Here is a 19341-nt window from a genome sequence, read left to right as displayed (position 1 = left end):
TTAACTATGTAATTTCTGAATCTAATAGGCAAGATAAATAAACAATTATGTAAACTCAGAATTCACAATTTGCACTAAAGAGGAAAAGGGAGAATAACTGTAACAGGATGCAATTCAAGTCATCAGAGAGTTACTGAGCACTTATCCCTTGCTGGGATCAGAAGTAAGGATCTATGATCTGGAAATAGGTCAGTACATATGTCTGTTATAAAGAAGAGTAAATGTCATTGAGATAAGACTGTTGCCCTGTTGAAGAGTCTCTCCAGGGCTCCCTTTATGTCCCTGTTCCTTAGGCTATAAATGAAGGGATTCAGCAATGGGGTGATCACCGTGTACATCACAGAGGCAATTACGTCCTTGTCACTGGAGGCACTGGATGAGGGGAGAAAATACAGTCCAATAATTGTGCCATAATACAGAGACACCACAGAGAGGTGAGAGCCACAGGTGGACAAAGCTTTGAAGATGCCCTTAGTAGATGGAGCCTTGAGGATGGTGACCCCAATGTGGCCATAAGAGATCAAGATGCATATTAGTGGTAGAGTAATGACTGCCTGTCCCACTGTGAAAATGACCAGCTCATTGAGGGAGATGTCTGAGCATGAGAGCTTGAGTAGGGCAACAAGATCACAGAAGAAATGGGGGATGGTGTTGTCAGCACAAAAGGACAGCTGGGCCAGGAGGAGAGTGTGAGACAGGGCATTGGTACAGGAGAGGATCCAGGACACAGTGACTAGTAAGTTACACAGTCCCTCTTTCATGATAGTGGTGTAGCGGAGGGGGTGACAGATGGCCACATACCGATCGTATGCCATTGAAGTGAGAAGGAAATTGTCTAGATCAGTGAAAAATATGAAAAAATACATCTGAGTTACACACCCTGCATAAAGAATGGATTGATCCTGAGTTTGCATGCTTAATAACATCTTTGGGACAGTGACAGATGAAAGGGAGATGTCAGTGAGAGCCAAGTGGCTGAGGAAGAAGAACATGGGGGTGTGAAGGTGAGAGTCCAGCCGGATGAGCAGGATGATGAGCAGGTTCCCCAGCACCGTGATCAGGTACATGCCCAAGAACAGGGTGAAGAACACAGCCTGCTGCTCTGGCCAGATGGGGAGGTCCAGGAGGAGGAACTCAGACACACTGCTCTGATTCTCCCTCTTCATGCTGACAGTCTTCTCTCTGCTGGAAATAGAGGGACATTGAAAAAGGCAGAAACAAACAAATGTTGATTTACAGCAGCAGATAAGAATAAGATCCTTGCTACTGATGAATATGCCAATGTCTGTCTACATTGCTATGTCCCTACAAAAAATCATTTCAAGTAGATGGTTTTATCACTCAAAATGGGATAATTCGCCAAGAGAGTAGAGGGTTTGAAATAGAAGAGAAGACCAGCCATGTCTAGTCAGTAAAGAGAAAGCTTCACACCGTATTAGCAGATGGATCGTAAGATAACGTCTTTCCAATTTCCATTGTTTATGTACTTTTAAAAACAATCATCAGGCTAGTCATGAGCCTTCATGTTGTAACATATTGAACTTTTTAAAATTTGACTTCAAAATCTATTAGTAAGCAACATATAGGGATGAAGTTTCCATAACACATATCCAAAAGAAATTGGATCAAAGATAAACAGCCAAAGTTTTCATTATGTATAAAGTTGATGAGAAAAAAAACTTGTCTATTGATTACAATATCACTGCCATAAAAAAAGTAAATCTTACACAAAATATTTAAAGGTGAGAGCTTCAGGAGGTAATTAGGTCATGAGGGTAGAACCCCATGAATGGGATTATTGCCCTTATAAGAAGAAACACAAGAGTGTCTCTGGCATTGCCATGTGAGGACTCAGCAGGAAGGCAGCCATCTGCTAACCAGAAAGTGGACCCGCACCAGAAACCAAATCTGCTGGTACCTTGATCTGGGGCTTCCCAGGCTCCAGAACTGTAACAAATAAATGTCTGCTGTTTAAAGTCACCCAGCTATAGCAGCCCAACCGACTAAGACACTCAGTAAACTAAATAATACAGTAAACACCATACCTAGTGGAGACATTTTAAAGCATTTCCATTAAAATCAGGAATGAGAAAAATATGCCAGCTTCCTCCACAGCCACTATCTACCCATTAAAATATTCTAAAGCCATGGCATATATGTGCCACATTTTCTTTATCCAGTCTATCATTGATGGACATTTGAGTTGATTCCATGTCTTTGCTATTGGGAATAGTGCTGCAATGAACATACATAAAAAGGAATGAGACCATGTCCTATGCAGGGACATGGATGGAGCTGGAAGCCATTATCCTCAGCAAACTAATGCAGGAACAGAAAACCAAACAACACATGTTCTCACTTATAAGTGAGAGCTGAACAATGAGAACACAGGGAGGAGAACAATACACACTGGGACCTGTCTAGGGAGCTTGAGGGGGTGAGAGCATCAGGAAAAAGAGCTAACGAATGCCAGGCTTAATACCTAGGTGATGGGGTTGATAGGTGCAGCAAACCACCATGGCACACGTTTACCTGTGTAACGAACCTGCACATCCTGCACATGTACCCTGGAACATAAGAAAAAAAAAACACCTCAAAAAGATATTCTAAACCTAAGTTACCAAATCCTGCAAGGCCAGTAGGAATGAGTTTATAGTGCCACTGTGTCTTAATTGAAAAGTTCCCTTTAAGTCAAAAAGCAATGCCAAATGCCTAATATATATACCAACGTATACTAAGTAAATAGAAAATGTGAGGATTTCATTATAACAGTTCTTAATTGGGAGAAAAATTCAGAAGAGCTTTGTACAGGTTAAGGATAGGCTTAAAATTCTTTGCTTCTTTAAGCTGGTGAGTTGAGCATACTCCTATTTCATATGAGAATACCATCCTTCCTTTGAAACTTACCAAAAGGCAGCCAACATAACAGAGTTCCGAATGGACCCATAGAGAAAAGGGGCAAGAATGCCTGGCCCAGGTTCCCCGGCTGCACCTGCTCACTCCAGCATTTTAAGGCTCCCTGGGGCTGTGACCTTAAGGATAGAGCCTAGTGTCTGAGGGTAGTATGTTGTACTGACAAAAGCATTGCAATTAGCCCTAGATTCAAGTCCTGGCAACATCACTTCATATCTTCATATTTGTGAGTTCTGGAGAAGTGATCCAGTTGGCCTGAGCTTCAGTTTTCTCATCTCTAATCTGGAGATGAGACTATGAGCCTAAGTCATGAGAATATTGTGAATATTAATAAGAAAACATTTGTGAAGAATGACTGCATACAATCTGAACCAATTTATATCAGTTTCTCACCTGCCATTTCCTGAGTCTCCTTTATTTCTCCCTCCTGATTGCCCACTCCTTTCAACAGGCAGATACTGGCAGAGTTCAGGTGCCACAAGGCCACTTCATCATGAGATCGTGACCTGATGCAGGCAAAGGCCAGAAACAGCAATAATGAAGTTGGGCAGAAAGGCAGCATCCAACCACACCCTAGAGAATGATGGCTCAGATATCTCACTATTCTGGACTTCTCCCCCTCCTTCTCCATTCTCTTCTGGTTTCTCTCATGCTATATCAATTAGATGACTCCTTCCTGAACTTGTAAATCTATTTAATCCATGGGATTTAGGATTTTGATAAAGCCCCCTGAATCCAATTCAGCCATGCCTATTTCTATCTGCATAAATTCTATGTAAAGACCATGTATGGGCCGGGCGCGGTGGCTCACGCCTGTAATCCCAGCACTTTGGGAGGCCGAGGCGGGCGGATCACGAGGTCAGGAAATCGAGACCATCCCGGCTAAAACGGTGAAACCCCGTCTCTACTAAAAATACAAAAAATTAGCCGGGCGTAGTGGCGGGCGCCTGTAGTCCCAGCTACTTGGGAGGCTGAGGCAGGAGAAGGGCGTGAACCCGGGAGGCGGAGCTTGCAGTGAGCCGAGATCCCGCCACTGCACTCCAGCCTGGGCGACAGAGCGAGACTCCGTCTCAAAAAAAAAAAAAAAAAAAAAGACCATGTATGGACTCCACCCCACCACATTCAGCCTCTTGATCACTAAAACCTCAACTACTGCTTGCTGATAACTGATATTTCCTTTACAGTGAGGTTGTGTATTATAGTAGAAGACAAAGCACAGGTTTTGAAGTCAGACAGAAGGGATTCAAATCAAAGTTGTATGTCTTTGGGCAAGGTAGTGCACATCTTAGGAGCCTCAGCTTTTCCTCTCTAGAATTGTGAACATAATCCCTGAATTACAGTAAAAATTAAATAAGGTAAGGTCTATAAAAACACCTCATCCATAGAAGGTGTCGTATATGAGATGACATTGTTTCCATTAAAATAAAGTGCAAAGACCTCTAGGGAACAAACTCAGTGTCTTATATTCAGTGCAAACCAGGCAAAAATTACTGGGGTAGTAGATGTTGCCTGGGCTCAAAGTTTGCTGCCTCTGATGAAGGTTTAAGAATACACTACAGATTACAGGCAGGAAATTATCAAGCAGATTGTAATAAGAAGATGCAGTATGGATGCTACACAAAAGAAGAAAGGACCCAAAGCTCTCTAGCTAAACATGTCCTTCAAATATACTTTCAGAAAGTAGCTGTGCTGTCTAAAGGGAAGGAAATGATCAGGGACTTTGGAAAGAAATATTAGAGAGGGCTCTCTAACACTGTATGCAGTAAATAAGCCCACATTCTAATATCTAGAACATGAATGATGAGATGAGACCCCTAGCTTGGATTTTGAGGATATGCCCACCAATTTATGTAACCAGCTGGCCCTATCCCTCATCTCCCCACAACGTGGGGTTAAAGACATGAGAGTCATTGGCCGGTGGTGATTGTTGCATCCCTGTCTTTAGGAACTGGGAATAAAAAATGACTCCAGAAGAGCACAGAGAAATGCTGAGCACCCGTATACACACACACACACACACACACACACACACACACACACAACCTGCTCCTGGAGAAGGATACCCAGTCCTGATCTGAACTTTATGCTCAAGTCATTCCTGGGAGTATGGACTGGTTTCTCAGCTTCTTTCTAGGAGACCAAGGGACCAGAGTTAGCCTCCGAATTCTGTGGTCCTAAACCTCACTGACATCGGAGAAAGAAGTCATGAACCTGGAGCTTACTCTTCTCAATTTACAGGCTTCAGAAATGGAGAGGTAACAAGTCTATTCTACCCACCAGGGAGAGGACACAAGGGGACAGGGCACAAAGCTCACGGTTAGAGACTTGCATTAAATAAACATGCATTAATTGCTCAGTTTTCCTCCTACTCTCCCCAGGAGAGATGCCCTCGGGCAGTGGTCTCTAAACTTCGATGTTCATCAAAATCACCTGGGGAGCTTGTTAAAGATCAGGTCCCAGCTCCACCTGCGGAGATATTCATTCATGAGATCTGGGGCCAGAAAATTCTGAGGCAAGTGGCTCTAAGGGCAGACTGCAAGGAATCTCTGTCCTTAGGAAGAGTGTCAGGCCCTGTGAATTTAAGTCCAAAAAGAGATGGGGAAAGACCTCCCCTGCCAGATTCTGGTTTCCCCTGGTTAGGTGTTAGGTTGAGATGTCTATAGAGATTTTTCTCTCAAATGAAAATTCTTTTTTGGTTTGCTGCTTATAAAACTAATTCCTCTTTATGATGGAAATACAAATAATATAAACATGAAAACAAAGGAGAAAGTCAAAGTATCTCACCCTTTCATGATTCATTTTTTATCCGTCTAAGAGGGCATTTTCACTCTTCACAATAGCAAAGACATGGAATCAACTTAGATGTTTATCAATGGTGCACTGGATAAAGAAAATGTAGTACACCATGGAATACTACGAAGGCATCAAAAAGAATGAAATCATGTCCTTTGCAGCAACATGGATGTAACTGGAGGCCATCATCCTAAGCAAATTAACACAGAAACAGAAAACCAAATACTGCATGTTCTCACTTATAAGTGGGAGCTAAACATTAGGTACACGTGGACATAAAGATGGGAGCAATAGACACTGAAGACTACTAGAGAAAGGTTGAAAAACCAACTATTGGGTACTACGCTCACTATCTGGGTGATGATATATCATTTGTAGCCCAAACCTCAGCATCATGCAATATACCCATGTAACAAACCTGGACATGCACCCCACGAATGTCAAACAAAAGTTGAAATTAAAAAATAATAATAAAATGAAAAATGACTTATTCATAAACATGTCTGTTTACATAATGGGATTTATTTTATAGTACTTTATAGCTTTCATTTTCTGTGATAATTTATTGTCACCATGTTTGCATTTCTATGTCTATGCACATCTATACATACATATCTACTTAAGATGTTTTATTTTATTCACTGTGAAATTTTATTAAAGACTATGAAATGCCTTAAAATCATCTCTTTTGTGAGCTGTCGGATCAAGGCTACTTTAATATCTTCAAAAGCATCATTTTTAATGTGCTGCATTGTCTTAATTCCTTAGTGTCTGCGGCTTGCCCTTTTGAAAAGAGGAGAAACAACTGTGAAAATGCTTGTGAATCATAAGTGGGAGTTGAATGATGAGAGCACATGGACCCAGGGAGGGGAACATCACACACCAGGGCCTGTCGGGGGGTGGGGAGCAAGGGGAGGGACAGCATTAGGACAAATACCTAATATATGCAGGGCTTAAAACCAAATGACCGGTTGATACATGCAGCAAACCACCATGGTACACGTATACCTATGTAACAAACCTGCACATTCAGCACATGTATCCCAGAACTTAAAGTAAAATAAAAAAAAAAAATGCTTGTGAAAATACATGAACAATGGAAGTTCAGGTTGAACTCTGCGGAAACACAGGCAACAATGCCAGACTGTTTTCACCCGCCCAAAGCCTAGGTGAAAGGTTATGGAATGAAATTAGCTGAATAACAGGGAAGTTGCTACTGCAATATTCCACACATAGATCAAATATCAAACTCCTTCAAAATGCACAAGTATTTCTATCCTCGCATCTCAGACTCCAGTTTAAGCCATCACCAATGCCATCCCAGTTACTGCTTACATAGTAATTAGCCTTATCTTTATGTATAAAATTGAGTAAACATATTGCATTTTGCATACAGCCAATGTGACAAAAAGAGTGGATATAAAGACTGGGGTAAAAATAACAATAACATGGATTGGATCCACAAAAATGCTATTTTATGGGATATGTCAAAAAACATGGCAAATGAAGTGAGCCATTTATAAATGAATGACACCATTTAACATAAAATTGTTCAATATTCTGCCAAGAACTTGTGTCCCTTTGTGGGGTTATAGTTTTTCTGAAATCATCTAGTGTTTTCTAACCAATACACAATTTAATGTGCATCGTATGTGAAATAATTGTTTCAGTTCAGAAATATGAAAATATGTTGTTAGAGTTATTATAGCTCACGTGAACCTGCCCCAATCTTTCAAGGAAAATCAGAGCATTTTGAGTGACATTAGAAAAGTTACATGGCACACTGAAATTCCACGAGGCTTAATGGAAACAAGAAGTCACAGATGGACACTGGATGTTAATTTTTTTCCAAACTTTGGCTTCATTTTCATTACATATATAGGTTGGCGTGATGATACAAACCATGATATGGAGTAGCTGGGTATTTCTATATTATATACAAATGAGATAATTTAGAGACTGGGGAGAGGAATTTACCACAGCTAGAGTTAATCCAAAAATATCAACATGAATCACTGATTTCTCTATTACTGAAATAACTTAAGGTGTCTCTTGTTTCATCCCATCTACTACCAGAATTCAGATGAGGTGTTATAAATGTGTGTCCCACAACTTCCAAGATTTAGTAAACATTCTACAGCATTGTTGCATGTGGCAGCTTGTTAGGAATGCAAATTCTTAGACCTCACCCAAAATTCTACTAAATCATAATTTGTAGTGGTAGATCAAAGGAATCTGAGTTTTGACAATCTTTCCAGAAATTCTCATGTACCCTAACATTTGAGAAGTGTTACTTTTCATTCTTCATTTGGAAGACAGGACTATCCTTCATGAAAGACAGTCAGTGCTGAATCTGGAGTGGCACCTTTAGGAAAATGATACTTTCCAAGAGTTAGCACTTGAATTTGGTTATATTTCCAAGGAGACTGGTATGAAGCACTACTTCACTAATGATACCACTCAGTCTACATTAGAGAGAATAGTAAAATAATACAGCTAATTCTTTCAATTCTATGTTGTGTTAAAGCCTGGGATTATAGGCCAAAAATATATATGTCTCCAAACATCTCCTCAAATAAGGGATAAGAAAACTGTATATTATTGCATTATTATGTCCCTTCTCCAAGTTGCAGAAATAAATAACAAAATTTGGCATTCACTGACCAAAAACTATAAAGAATAACATTGTTAATAAGAGAATGGAATTCTGGCCAACAAATATTTACCAATTACATTCAACATGTTAACATTTGTCTTAGGGCTTCAGGACATAACATGTTTTGAGACATATTCAAATGGAAAATCAAATACATGAGATAAACCAAAATGAGATTCTAATTTTTTAAAAAGTCAGATGTCACCAAGAGAAAAATGTTGCTCTACTGAAGAGTTTCCCAAGGGCCTCTTTCATGTCCCTGTTCCTAAGGCTGTAGATAAAGGGGTTCAACATGGGTGTGACCACCGTGTACATGAGAGCCACAATGACATCCTTGTCAATAGAACTGCTTACAGTCGGGAAAAGGTACTGGCCAAATATTGACCCATAATAGAGAGACACCACAGAGAGATGGGAGCCACATGTGGACAATGCTTTGTGGATCCCTTTGGTTGAAGGGACCCTCAGGATGGTGGCCCCAATGTAGCCATATGATACCAGGATACACATGAATGGCAGGGTAATGACCACCACCCCTACTGTGAACATGACCAGCTCATTGAGGAAGATATCTGAGCAGGACAGCTTGAGCAGGGCAGCAAGGTCACAGAAGACATGGGGGATGGTGTTCGCAGCACAGAAAGACAGCCGGGTCAGGAGAAGGGTGTGAGAGAGGGAGCTGGCACAAGACAGAATCCAAGATACAGCCACTAAGAAGACACAGAGCTCTTCCCTCATGATGACAGTGTAGTGGAGAGGGTGACATATGGCAACATATCGGTCATATGCCATTGATGTAATAAGGAAGCTGTCCAGGTCAGTAAAAAATATAAAAAAATACATCTGAGAAATGCATTCCTCATAGAGGATCGATTTGTACTTAGTCCGCATGTCCATCAGCATCTTAGGGACAGTGACAGATGAAAAGGAGATGTCAGTGAGAGCCAAGTGGCTGAGGAAGAAGTACATGGGGGTGTGAAGGTGAGAGTCCAGCTGGATGAGCAGCATGATGAGCAGGTTCCCCAGCACCGTGGTCAGGTACATGCCCAGGAACAGGGTGAAGAACACAGCCTGCTGCTCTGGCCGGATGGGGAGGCCCAGAAGGAGGAACTCGGACACGCTGCTCTGGTTCTCAGGGCTCATACTCCTTTGCCCTCTGATGGAGATGAAGAATGCTTGAGAATATTAGAGGCTCTGAAATTATCATTTTTAGCAGTCATATTAAAAGATGTACGTTTTAACATAGACACAGGGAGAGGAACAACACACACTGGGGCCTATCGGGGGTCTGTGGGGAGGAAGAGCATCAGAAAAAATATATAATGCATTCTGGGCTTAATGCCTAGACGATGGGATGATAGGTACAGCAAACCACCATGGCACAGGTTTACCTATGTAACAAACCTGCACATCCTGCACATGTACCCCAGAACTTAAAAATACATATATATATATGTTTTATTTCAGAAAGTGCAAAATTTAACCTGCTTCTCATATTTTTCCTTATATGTTATGTAAGAAAACTAGAAAAAAGCATTGAGGCAAATGTTACTGAGAGTCAGTATTTCTTGGTTCGATAACAAAACATAAATCTTGCACCTGTGGGACTGAGGACTAGGCTGTGGAGAAAGGTGTTTCAGCCAAGTTACTGCTCCCAAAAGTTAATGTGGCGAGTATTCCAAGCCATCAGTCATGGTACAGCAACCATTAGAAGATCTGACTTCACCAGCCATGGTTAAATTTCAGATGAGAGGTGGCCTTTTCAAATAAAAGTATGTAAAGAATAGTATTCCTAATTTAAGTTCTGGGGTACATGTGCAGGACGTGCAGGTTTGTTACACAGGTAAACGTGTGCCATGGTGGTTTGCTGCATCTATCAACCCATCACCTAGGTATTAAGCCCCACATGCATTAGCTATTTGTCCTGATGCTCTTCCTCCCGCACCCCCCGACAGGCCCCAGTGTGTGTTGTTCCCCTCCCTGTGTCCATGTGTTCTCATTAGAACAGTTATCATTATGCATACATTTTTATTTGTTTCAATTATGTAGAGGGTTCCTAAGAAATTAGGGATTGTATCAATTCATTTTCTCTACTTCAGTCTTGGAGATCTTTTTTTAAACTACCTTTCAACATGACTTCCCTGTCTAAAAATTCTCAAAGGATTCCCATTGACCTTTAAGATTAGAGTGTAACAACCTTAATATGGCTTAAAGGCCCTGCAAAACCTGCATCTCTCCTACATTTCCCATTTCTTTCTTGCCCTCCCTTTCCCCTCACCCTTGCCAACCTCTCTGTTCCAACCTTGTGGGAAGGCACATTTCCATTTAACGTCATTTAGACTTCTTCCCCTTGGTGGTTGTGGATTTCTTGTGATTCCCTGGCATGTTGAGAAAGTAAAGATCAGACTGGCTATGAGAAAATACTTTAGGGAAATTTATTTACGCTTTATTGTTTACTGTCAACACAAAGCAGTTTAAGTGACATTATCTTAAATTATATTCAAAGTGTGCATTTTCTAGTTCTTTTGCAATCCAGTCTCCCTTTCCTCCCTAGGCAATAACACTCATCCCATAACAAACTGTGAAGGCTATTATCAAAAGATGGCAAAAGAAGTGAGATTTTAAGTGTACTCCAAGTTTTCAGCTCCCTCTTGGGTACTCCTGTCATCTTAAAACACAACACCTCCTAGTCAGCTGTGGTAAGCAGAATAAGAACCCCCAAAGATGTCCACATCCTAATCTCCAGAACCTGTAAATCTGCTGTGGTGCATTCCAAGGTGGGATTAAGGTTGTAGATGGAATTAAGGTTGCTAATCAGCTGACTTTAAAATGGGGAGCTTATCCTGGATTATCTGGGTTGGCCCAGTGTGATAATGAGTGCCTTAAATGTGGAAGAAGACATAGAAGAGTCTGAATCAGAGACGTATTCGAAGATGTTATGTTGTTGGCTCAGAGGACGAAGGAAGGGGCCATGAGATAAGGAATGCAAGTGGGCTCTACAAGCTAGAAAAAAGCAAGAAAACAAGATTATGCTCTAGAACCTCTCGAAGAAATGCCAACCTCTTCAGTTTTAACCCACTGATACCCATTTTAGACTTCTGACCTCCAGAACTGTGATATAATAACATTTGTGAGGTTTTTCTAAAGCACTAAGCTTGTGGTAATTTGTTAAAGCAGTAATAGAAAACTGATACATCAGCACTGGAAAGACTTCAGGTATATCCAAATATTCTGGTTATCTAGGGACCAGAATGCAACAAAATCCATGTGTCCTTCCCCAGCTTCCATCTTGCATCCAACAAAACAAAGCAATCACTCAGCAGAGCTAATCCTTACCTAACCAGCAGGGAAATAAGGCTGCTATCTCATTGGAAGCATTTGTCACTAATCATAAATGAGACTCTATGCCATCCCTCTCCTACAAATTTCAATATTCCTTTAATAAGGAATATTCCTTTAATAAAATTTCCTTTAATAAGAAAAGGCAGAGAGTTAGAGAGGGCTCTTATCCATCCAATGAGCTTCTGGCCTAGAGCAAAAATTCAGCAGAAGACAAGTCGGTGGCAGGTTTCAAATCTTTCAGTTTTTAAATCTAGCTATATATAGACCTCAACCTAACTCCTTAAAGACATCCCCACCCTAACATACATATTGAGGTCAGTAAACACAGTGTTCCAAGTGTGCTAGGCTCAAGCATCTTCCTTTTCCTAATCTTCTCCTTTTCCTCCTCCTCCTCCTTCTCCTCCTTCTTCTTCTTCTTCCCCTTCTCCTTCTTCTCCTTCTCCTTTCTCTCTCTCTCTCTCCCTCTCTCTCTCTCCCCCCCTCACTCTCCCTCCTTCCCTCCCTCTCTGTCCTCTACTCCCACTTTGAAGGCAATGTGAGACTAGAGAAAAAGCCACAGATTTTGGAATAAGATAGGCTTGGTCATCATAAAACTTTGGTTGTGGCATTTTTGTCCATAGCAGGTCTCTTAACTCTTGCGAATCTCAGAAAGATGAAGATCTTTAAACAGGATGCAATTATACCCCATAAGGTTTTTGTAAGATGAAGTGAGATGACATATTTGAAACCCCTAGTACATTTGCTTGCATAGTGCTCAGCAAATATTGGTTTCCCTCCTGCCACAATTAAAGACAAAATGCAAATCTACCCAGAGAGGAGCCAGAGGAATTTACGTCCTTTTACACGCAGGAGAAAATTATTCATATTAATTCCTTTGCTGGACTCTGGGTGTGGATTCCTTAGACAAAGTTGTGGAATTGAGTATACAAACTGCTGGCAAACCAAGAGCACAAACATAGAACACATATGAGCACAGGGGGAAAATGATCATTCTACTGCTGGAGTTCTCATTCAGACAAGTGAGAAACAGGCACTACTTACCAGGGAGGGAAAACAAAAGGGAAATTCAGGAGAGAGGCTCGTTCTCACATAAGTAGCTTATATTCTGATGCCTAGCAGCTGAATGCAATGCCTTGGTGTAGACTGTATTTGGGGATAAGCTGGATAATTTATAAGGCAGCCAAGTGCCAGTCCTTCAGCAGCCTACCAAGACTCAAAGCCAATGGCAAGAGGATAACTGAGTGTTCAGCAAGATATAAAGAGATGACTTTGTTTACCCTAATCCCAGCCTCCTAAGTATTTTCCCCTTTAATGACCCTTTTTAACTCCATTCTTCTTTTCATCTTCAGGTGCCCTCTGATTGCTTCAAAGGTCACGACTTATCTGACAGTTCTGACACAAGCAAACATCAGGAACTAAACAAGTGACTCCTTTGGAGAGACGTTTGTCCTTATAAGGCACATGCATTCATTCAACAAACAGACCCTTGAAACCTACCACAGATAAGGCACCATATTTGTGTTGTCCTGAGTAAACAGAGAGGAATATGCTTGTCATCAAAGAAAAATTATCCCAAATGTTGGCAGTTGAATAATTTTTATAGCCAATGAAGGACACATTTTGGAAGTGTAGGAGGCCTTCCCAAAATTCCTGATTTAAACACCAAAACAACTTTGGAATGCTTGGATTCTTTGCTGTTCAGATCTGGTTTTCTATGTCAGGATCCAAGGCAGAAAAATATTCCTCCAGTATGTCAGTCTCTCTCTTCGTTCATCTTTTTCTCCTTTTGCCCCTTTCTCTCATCCTGTCTATGTCTGCCACTCAATATCTCTCTGTTCCTTCCTTCTCTCTCTTCCTCTGTCTCTCTGTGTGTGTCTTTTTACATTCTATCTCTTCTCCCCATGCCAACTGCTGCCTTCTGTTTCTTCCTCGTCTATATGCACTTATAAACTCATCTATTGCTGAGAGGGAAAAAATACCCATTCCATCTCCAGTGCTTACCTTCCCTGCATTTATGATCCAATGTTTGGTGGATAAGTGTTCCTAAGGTTCTCATTATGGGATCTAAAAACCAGCTTCCAAGATTCTAGACATTTCTCAGACACCAAGAATAAAAGCTACAAGTACAAACTCATTCCTGTTTACAGCCCCAGAGCTGTGAATCGAAGAGCTTAACTAAGGAGAAAACTCTAGGGAGTAGGAGATTGAACTGGTAATCTCCAGTTAAAGATATCCATAAAACATGGATTAATTGTCCAATTTTCCCCTTGATTCCACTGGGAAAGGTATTCTGTGGGAGGATATTTGTCCTGGGAACGTTAGAGGGTGAGTACACAAAGAAAATATCTCAAAGTACCCTCAGTCTCTCTTCTGTTCTACCCTCTGTTTTTCTAGTCTTAATCACACTTTGGATAAATCCTAGGGAGGTTAAAAAAAATACTGACTCCAATCATGTTTAAATAGAAGAAATCCATATGACTGCTGGGCTCTGAGAATTTAGGTAGAACCATATCCCACTCCAAGGGATCTTACTGAGTCCTACTCATCAGGTAGCCCAAAGGAAGTGACTTGTGTTTCTTCTCTCCGGTGAACATGAGGAAATACAGAAGGAGAAAGAGGCAGAGATCATCATCTTTTTCGAGGTTTTATTGTTTCATTGACAAACTTAGGTATGGTTATATCAAATAAAAATAGTTTTCAAGGAAGAAATGAAAAAAGGAGAGAAGGAAGAGAAGGGAAAGAAAACTAAATGAACAAAAACAAAAGAAAACAAACTTGCAAATAGAAAAAAAAAACAAGTTGACACGCAAAATCTAGAAAAAATGACTCAAAATTGAAAAGCTTCAGGTTCTCTGAAATTGATCTTTTGAGGAAAATGGTCATTTATCATGCCAATCGTGATTCTTAGGGGTGAAATATATAGGGATATAGGACAAATAAAGAAGTATTTATAGCTTGAGATAATAATGTTTGAGGATTTATTTTGGCCTTTTTCATATCTAGGTCTAAGACATCATAGATAAAGCAAAGTTTATGCTATGGTTTGAATGTCTGTCCCCTTCAAAACTCATGTTAAAACTTAATCCCCAATGTGTCAGTGTTGAGAGGTGGGCCCTTTAAGAGGTGATTGGGTCTTGAGGGCTCTGCCCTTATGAATGGATTTATCCATTCATAGATTAATGGGTTAATTGATTAATAGGTTATCATGACAGCGAGACTGGTAGCTTTGTAAGAAGAGAAAGAGAAACCTGAGCTAACATACTCAGTCCCCTTATTATGTGATGCCCTGAACTGCCTCAAGACTCTGCAGAGTCCTCACCAGCAAGAAGGTCCTCACAAGATGCAGCCTCTTGACCTTAGACTTAGTCTCCAGAATTGCAAGAAATAAATTCTTTTTCTTTATAAATTACTTAGTCTCAGGTATTCAGTTATAACAACAGATAACAGACTGAGAGAGCTTATATGCGGGCAGCTTCTTTCTAGGTGTGATGACCCTGTATTTACTACCACAACTTTATATAACTTGGAGCAGAAGGACTTGGAGACTCTGTCAACTCAGTATCATTGAAGTCCAACAGCATTCTAGGCAAAACCCAGGGAAGACGGTTAAAAGAATATTGGCCAGTAGCAGCTTAGCAAACTCAAAGTGGGCTGTAAGATAGTTTAGCTATAGGAACTGGATGCTCTGGGAAGGACACGCCAGACACTTGGTGCACTGGGAAGGACAACTCCATTGTATGGCAAGTGGGCAGATTGAATAGACACAGTCAGATACAGGATGCAGGGAGCTCAGATGCCAGATACAGGAAGCTATGAAAGCAAGCAGTATAGACAGGGTAGACTGTAAAGCAAAGACAAAGGTACCTGTGGTGGGTTTGGACAGATTGAAATACAATAGATCAGATGGAGACACCTTGGACTAAAGTCTGACGCATTACAGACAGAGAAATGACATGTATGTGGTCACAAGGGGACTTAAAGTAGGACTGGTGAAAAACATGATTCTCACTGGAAAGCAAAGGACAAGTTATTATATCTCACACCTCTTACCACTGAGAAAAAAGCACAGCATTTGGTAGGCCTCTTCATATTTTGAAGACAGCACACATCACATTTATAATACTCCTCTGACCAATTTATCAAATGACTAGATAAACTTCCAGCTTTAAGTAAGCTCTAGAACAAGATAAGATTCTGCAGCTGGTTCAGACAGTGGTACAAGGGACCATGCTAATTGGATCATCTGAATGGGCAGAACTCATGGTGGTAGAGGTATCCATGGTAGATAGTGGCATTATATGGAGCCTCTGGTAAACTCCAATAGAAGAGTTGCAAAGCAGTGTTTCTGGAGCCAGGAACTGCTACGGAGCTACTGGGCTTTAGCAGAGCAGAGTGCCTAACCATGCGACATCCAGTGACAGAACCTGAGAATTGTCAGGCACAAAAAGTTGTAAGGTCAGATAGACACAGCAGCAAATTTGGCATGGGGCCTTAGTAGGTCTGGACAGCAACAGTAAACTTCAGAAACAGGTAGCCTGGGCCCCCAGATCATCTAACTACGTTGTATTGAAGTCTGTCCCTCAGCCCTTACCTATGGCCTCATGAGGATTTCCATACAACTAATTGAAAAAGAGACAAAAAGTCCTGGGCTTGGTTCATAGACGGATTGGCCATATATGTTTGTGGGAGCTAAAAATTGACTTCTGTTCCAGTTCAGACCTGATCAGGGTGGCTCTAAACAACTGTGATCAAGGGAAATACTCCCTGCTCAAAAAGTTATTGTGCAGTATACCTGGTCATATCTTGTGTAAATGGCCTGCGGTAAAGATATGCATGGATTCTTTGGTGTTGGTGAATGACTTAGTTGTTTGTCAGGGGCCTGGAGGGAGTAAGAGTGGAAGTTCAGAGATAGAGTATTTTTGAAAAATAAAGTGGATGAACCTATGAGACTGGACACAAAGTACATGGGTTTTTATATCTTATGTCAATGCCTACCAGAGAGCATCCACTTCAGAGAAGACACTGAACAAAAAGATTAATAATATTATTTATCCAGTGGTGGTTAACCACATTCTGTCCTTCACCAATGTGGTGTACAATGGATCCATCAGTAAAGTTCCTGTGGCCGTGGAGGTAGAGGCTATGCATGAGTCCAACAGCATGGACTTCCTCTCACCATGGATGAACTAGCTGCTGCCACTGCTGAATGTTTAACCTAATAGCAGCTCAGACAAATGCTGAGCCCTCAATATGTTGTTATTCTTCTGGGGGACCAAATGGTTACTGGGACAAGTTAATTACATTCAACACCTTTCAGACCTGAGTGCAATGATTCATGTTCACTGGGATTTTCAGATACTCTTGTTTTGGATTTTCCTTTCCCTCCGCCATGCCTTAGCCACTACCACTATTCAAGATCTCATTTATCATCATATCCCACATGACATCATCTCACATTGTGAAGGAGGTGGTACAATGCATATACAGCTATAAAGCTCTTTGCTCCTATCATATACCACATCACTTAAATTGGTTTGACAGAATATTGGAATGTCCTCTTAAAACATCAACTAAGGCAACCACCTGTAGATGATCTCCTGGAGGGTTGGAATACTATTCTTCAAGATGCAATATGTTCTTTGAACCAATGACCATTATAAGGTATTAGGTCCTCCATAAGAAGAATGCATTTAGACTAGGAACTGAAAAGTGGAAGGAGTGGCCCCTCTTACCATACTTCCTGATCACTGTCTTGGAGGCATTTATGTTTCTGGTATCTTGAACTTTTTGCTCTGCTGAACTGGAATTCCAGATCCTGGATACTCCTACCAGGAAACACAGTAAAGATTCCACTAAGCCTAAAGATATGGTTACTCCTTAATCATTTGAATTCCTTCTGTTAGTAGACCTGCAGAAAAAAAAAAAAAGTACTATGTTGGCAGGTTACTTGACCCTACTTAACAACTTATCATGAGAAGGTTCTGCTACATAATGAAGGCAGAGAAACGTCTGGAATTCTAGGGATTCACTGGAACACTTTTTGGTGTTTTCATGCCCATTGGCTGCTCTTGCAGCAACCATGATCTTCCAAGGCCTCAGCATCCTCAGAGATGAAGGTCTGCGTGATTCCTCCAGACAAGCATCCTGGAACAAGGTACGTGTTCTAATGAACAAAGTAAGGGGAATCAAGGATGGATGGTGGAGAAGTGAGATGGTGAATTTAAGTTGCAGCCTTGAGACCAACTGAAGCAGTATAAATTGCATTACACCCATCTAATTCTCTGGTGATTTTTTTTTAAAGAAAATTAGGTTGGCCACCATCTGCAAGAATCTGTAATAAGACATGAATGGATCTGAACAATGAAGGACGTGAATGTCACAGACTCTGAGAACTCCCCACTCATAACTATTTACCTTACTGCTTCAGTGCATTCTGTCCAGAGCTTCAACTATCAGAATTTTTATTTCCTTTCTTAAGGGTTTTCTCTGGCCACTGGAGCCCAGTTTGTTTACACAGATAGCAAGCTAGAAGTGCTGGAGAATTTGTTCTGTCTATCCACCACTACCATATCCATCAGTCCTCGGTTACAAACAGACAGGAGTTCATACATGAATCCCCCAGCTCACTCACCTGCAGGGTGGAAAAATCTGAGGTGTGTTGGAGTCTAGTGTTTTCTCAGTGGGATCAGCTTCAGTTACCAGGTGATAATTTTGTTGACCTCCTTTACTCCTCACTTTTCCCTGTCTTATTTTCCCACTCTCCTATTGCTGTTTCCTTTGATTCTCAAATAAACGACTTGCCCTTAATTCTTGGTTTAGAGTTGACTTCTGGAGCAATACAAACTAAACTTCTGTAACTTAATAATAATTTTTTATTATTGGCTATTTGTCAGGAAACAATGTTCTTTCATTCTCTGTAACTCAGTAAACATTTTTAAGTGGATCTCTATGTGCCCAACACTAAAGTCTAAAAATTCAGGAGTGAATGAAAAAAAAAATCTTACTTTCTTTTCTCTCGGCACGTATTAAGAAGGGCTAAGGCCTCATATAGCAGTAAGATATAAACTGTTTTATAGTAGGAATAAGCATGTGCTTGTTGGCTGAAGGTTATTTTGAGGAGAGGAACTGTTCCCTGAGGCTTCGGAAACTTGTCCATTGAAGGTTTTGTGCCTTGATTCTCAGGGTCCTATGTGAGGATGCTTAATGCCTGTGGTGGGTGGTGATTGGGAGAAGAGCAATCAGCACAAAGACCAAGAAGACACAGCAGTAGTGTCTACAGGGGCAGCTGCCTTCTTCTTCTTGAATTTTGTCAACCCTTGGACAAACTTTCTTCCTGGACCATAGTCTTTCCTATGAAATTCAACAACGGTTCACAAAACTGTCCAATGTCTTTATTACTTATAAAAGAAAAACATGATTATATAAATGTGATGGCAGACAAATATTTTTAAAATACACAAATGCCTCTAATCCCAACAGCAAAATATAGCTTTTATTAACATTTTGGAGCATGTGCAGGTTTTTAAAAAATAATAATCTGCCTTTCGCAAATAACTGTAAACCTGCCTATATATCATTTTTATTGTGTTCTTTCAAAAATTATGTTTTTCATAAACCTCATTTTAATGACTATGTAA

General features: G+C 40.7%; 2 protein-coding genes across 5 annotated transcripts in view; both read right to left on the bottom strand.

Annotated features, from left to right (window-relative positions):
* OR1J2 (olfactory receptor family 1 subfamily J member 2) overlaps positions 1-19341 on the bottom strand; it is a 132995-nt gene that overhangs the window by 60121 nt on the left and 53533 nt on the right. Inside the window, exons 3-4 of one of the 4 annotated variants that reach the window (XM_024447517.2) lie at positions 17437-17529; positions 6210-9518 (exon numbers count right to left, since the gene is read on the bottom strand). In XM_024447517.2, coding sequence (XP_024303285.1) covers positions 8564-9505 — 942 coding nt within the window. In that variant the 5' untranslated portion in view covers positions 9506-9518; positions 17437-17529 and the 3' untranslated portion in view covers positions 6210-8563. Of the gene's footprint in view, positions 1-6209; positions 9519-17436; positions 17613-19341 lie in introns of those variants that run through there. The other 3 variants (XM_024447516.2, XR_007061271.1, NM_054107.1) reach the window with 3 other exon arrangements.
* OR1J4 (olfactory receptor family 1 subfamily J member 4) lies at positions 225-1166 on the bottom strand. The gene has a single exon (NM_001004452.1). The coding sequence runs from the start codon at positions 1164-1166 to the stop codon at positions 225-227; it is 942 nt and encodes a 313-aa protein (NP_001004452.1).

This window comes from Homo sapiens, chromosome 9 (genome assembly GCF_000001405.40).
Source record: "Homo sapiens chromosome 9, GRCh38.p14 Primary Assembly".
Classification (NCBI taxonomy): Eukaryota; Metazoa; Chordata; class Mammalia; order Primates; family Hominidae; genus Homo; species Homo sapiens.
Note: the sequence above shows the minus strand (reverse complement) of the source record. Positions and strands in the feature narration are given on the sequence as shown.

What these genes read in the sequence shown, in the direction of transcription:
- OR1J4 (NM_001004452.1), bottom strand. Translation starts at nt 1,166, where the DNA reads ATGAAGAGGGAGAATCAGAGCAGTGTGTCTGAGTTCCTCCTCCTGGAC.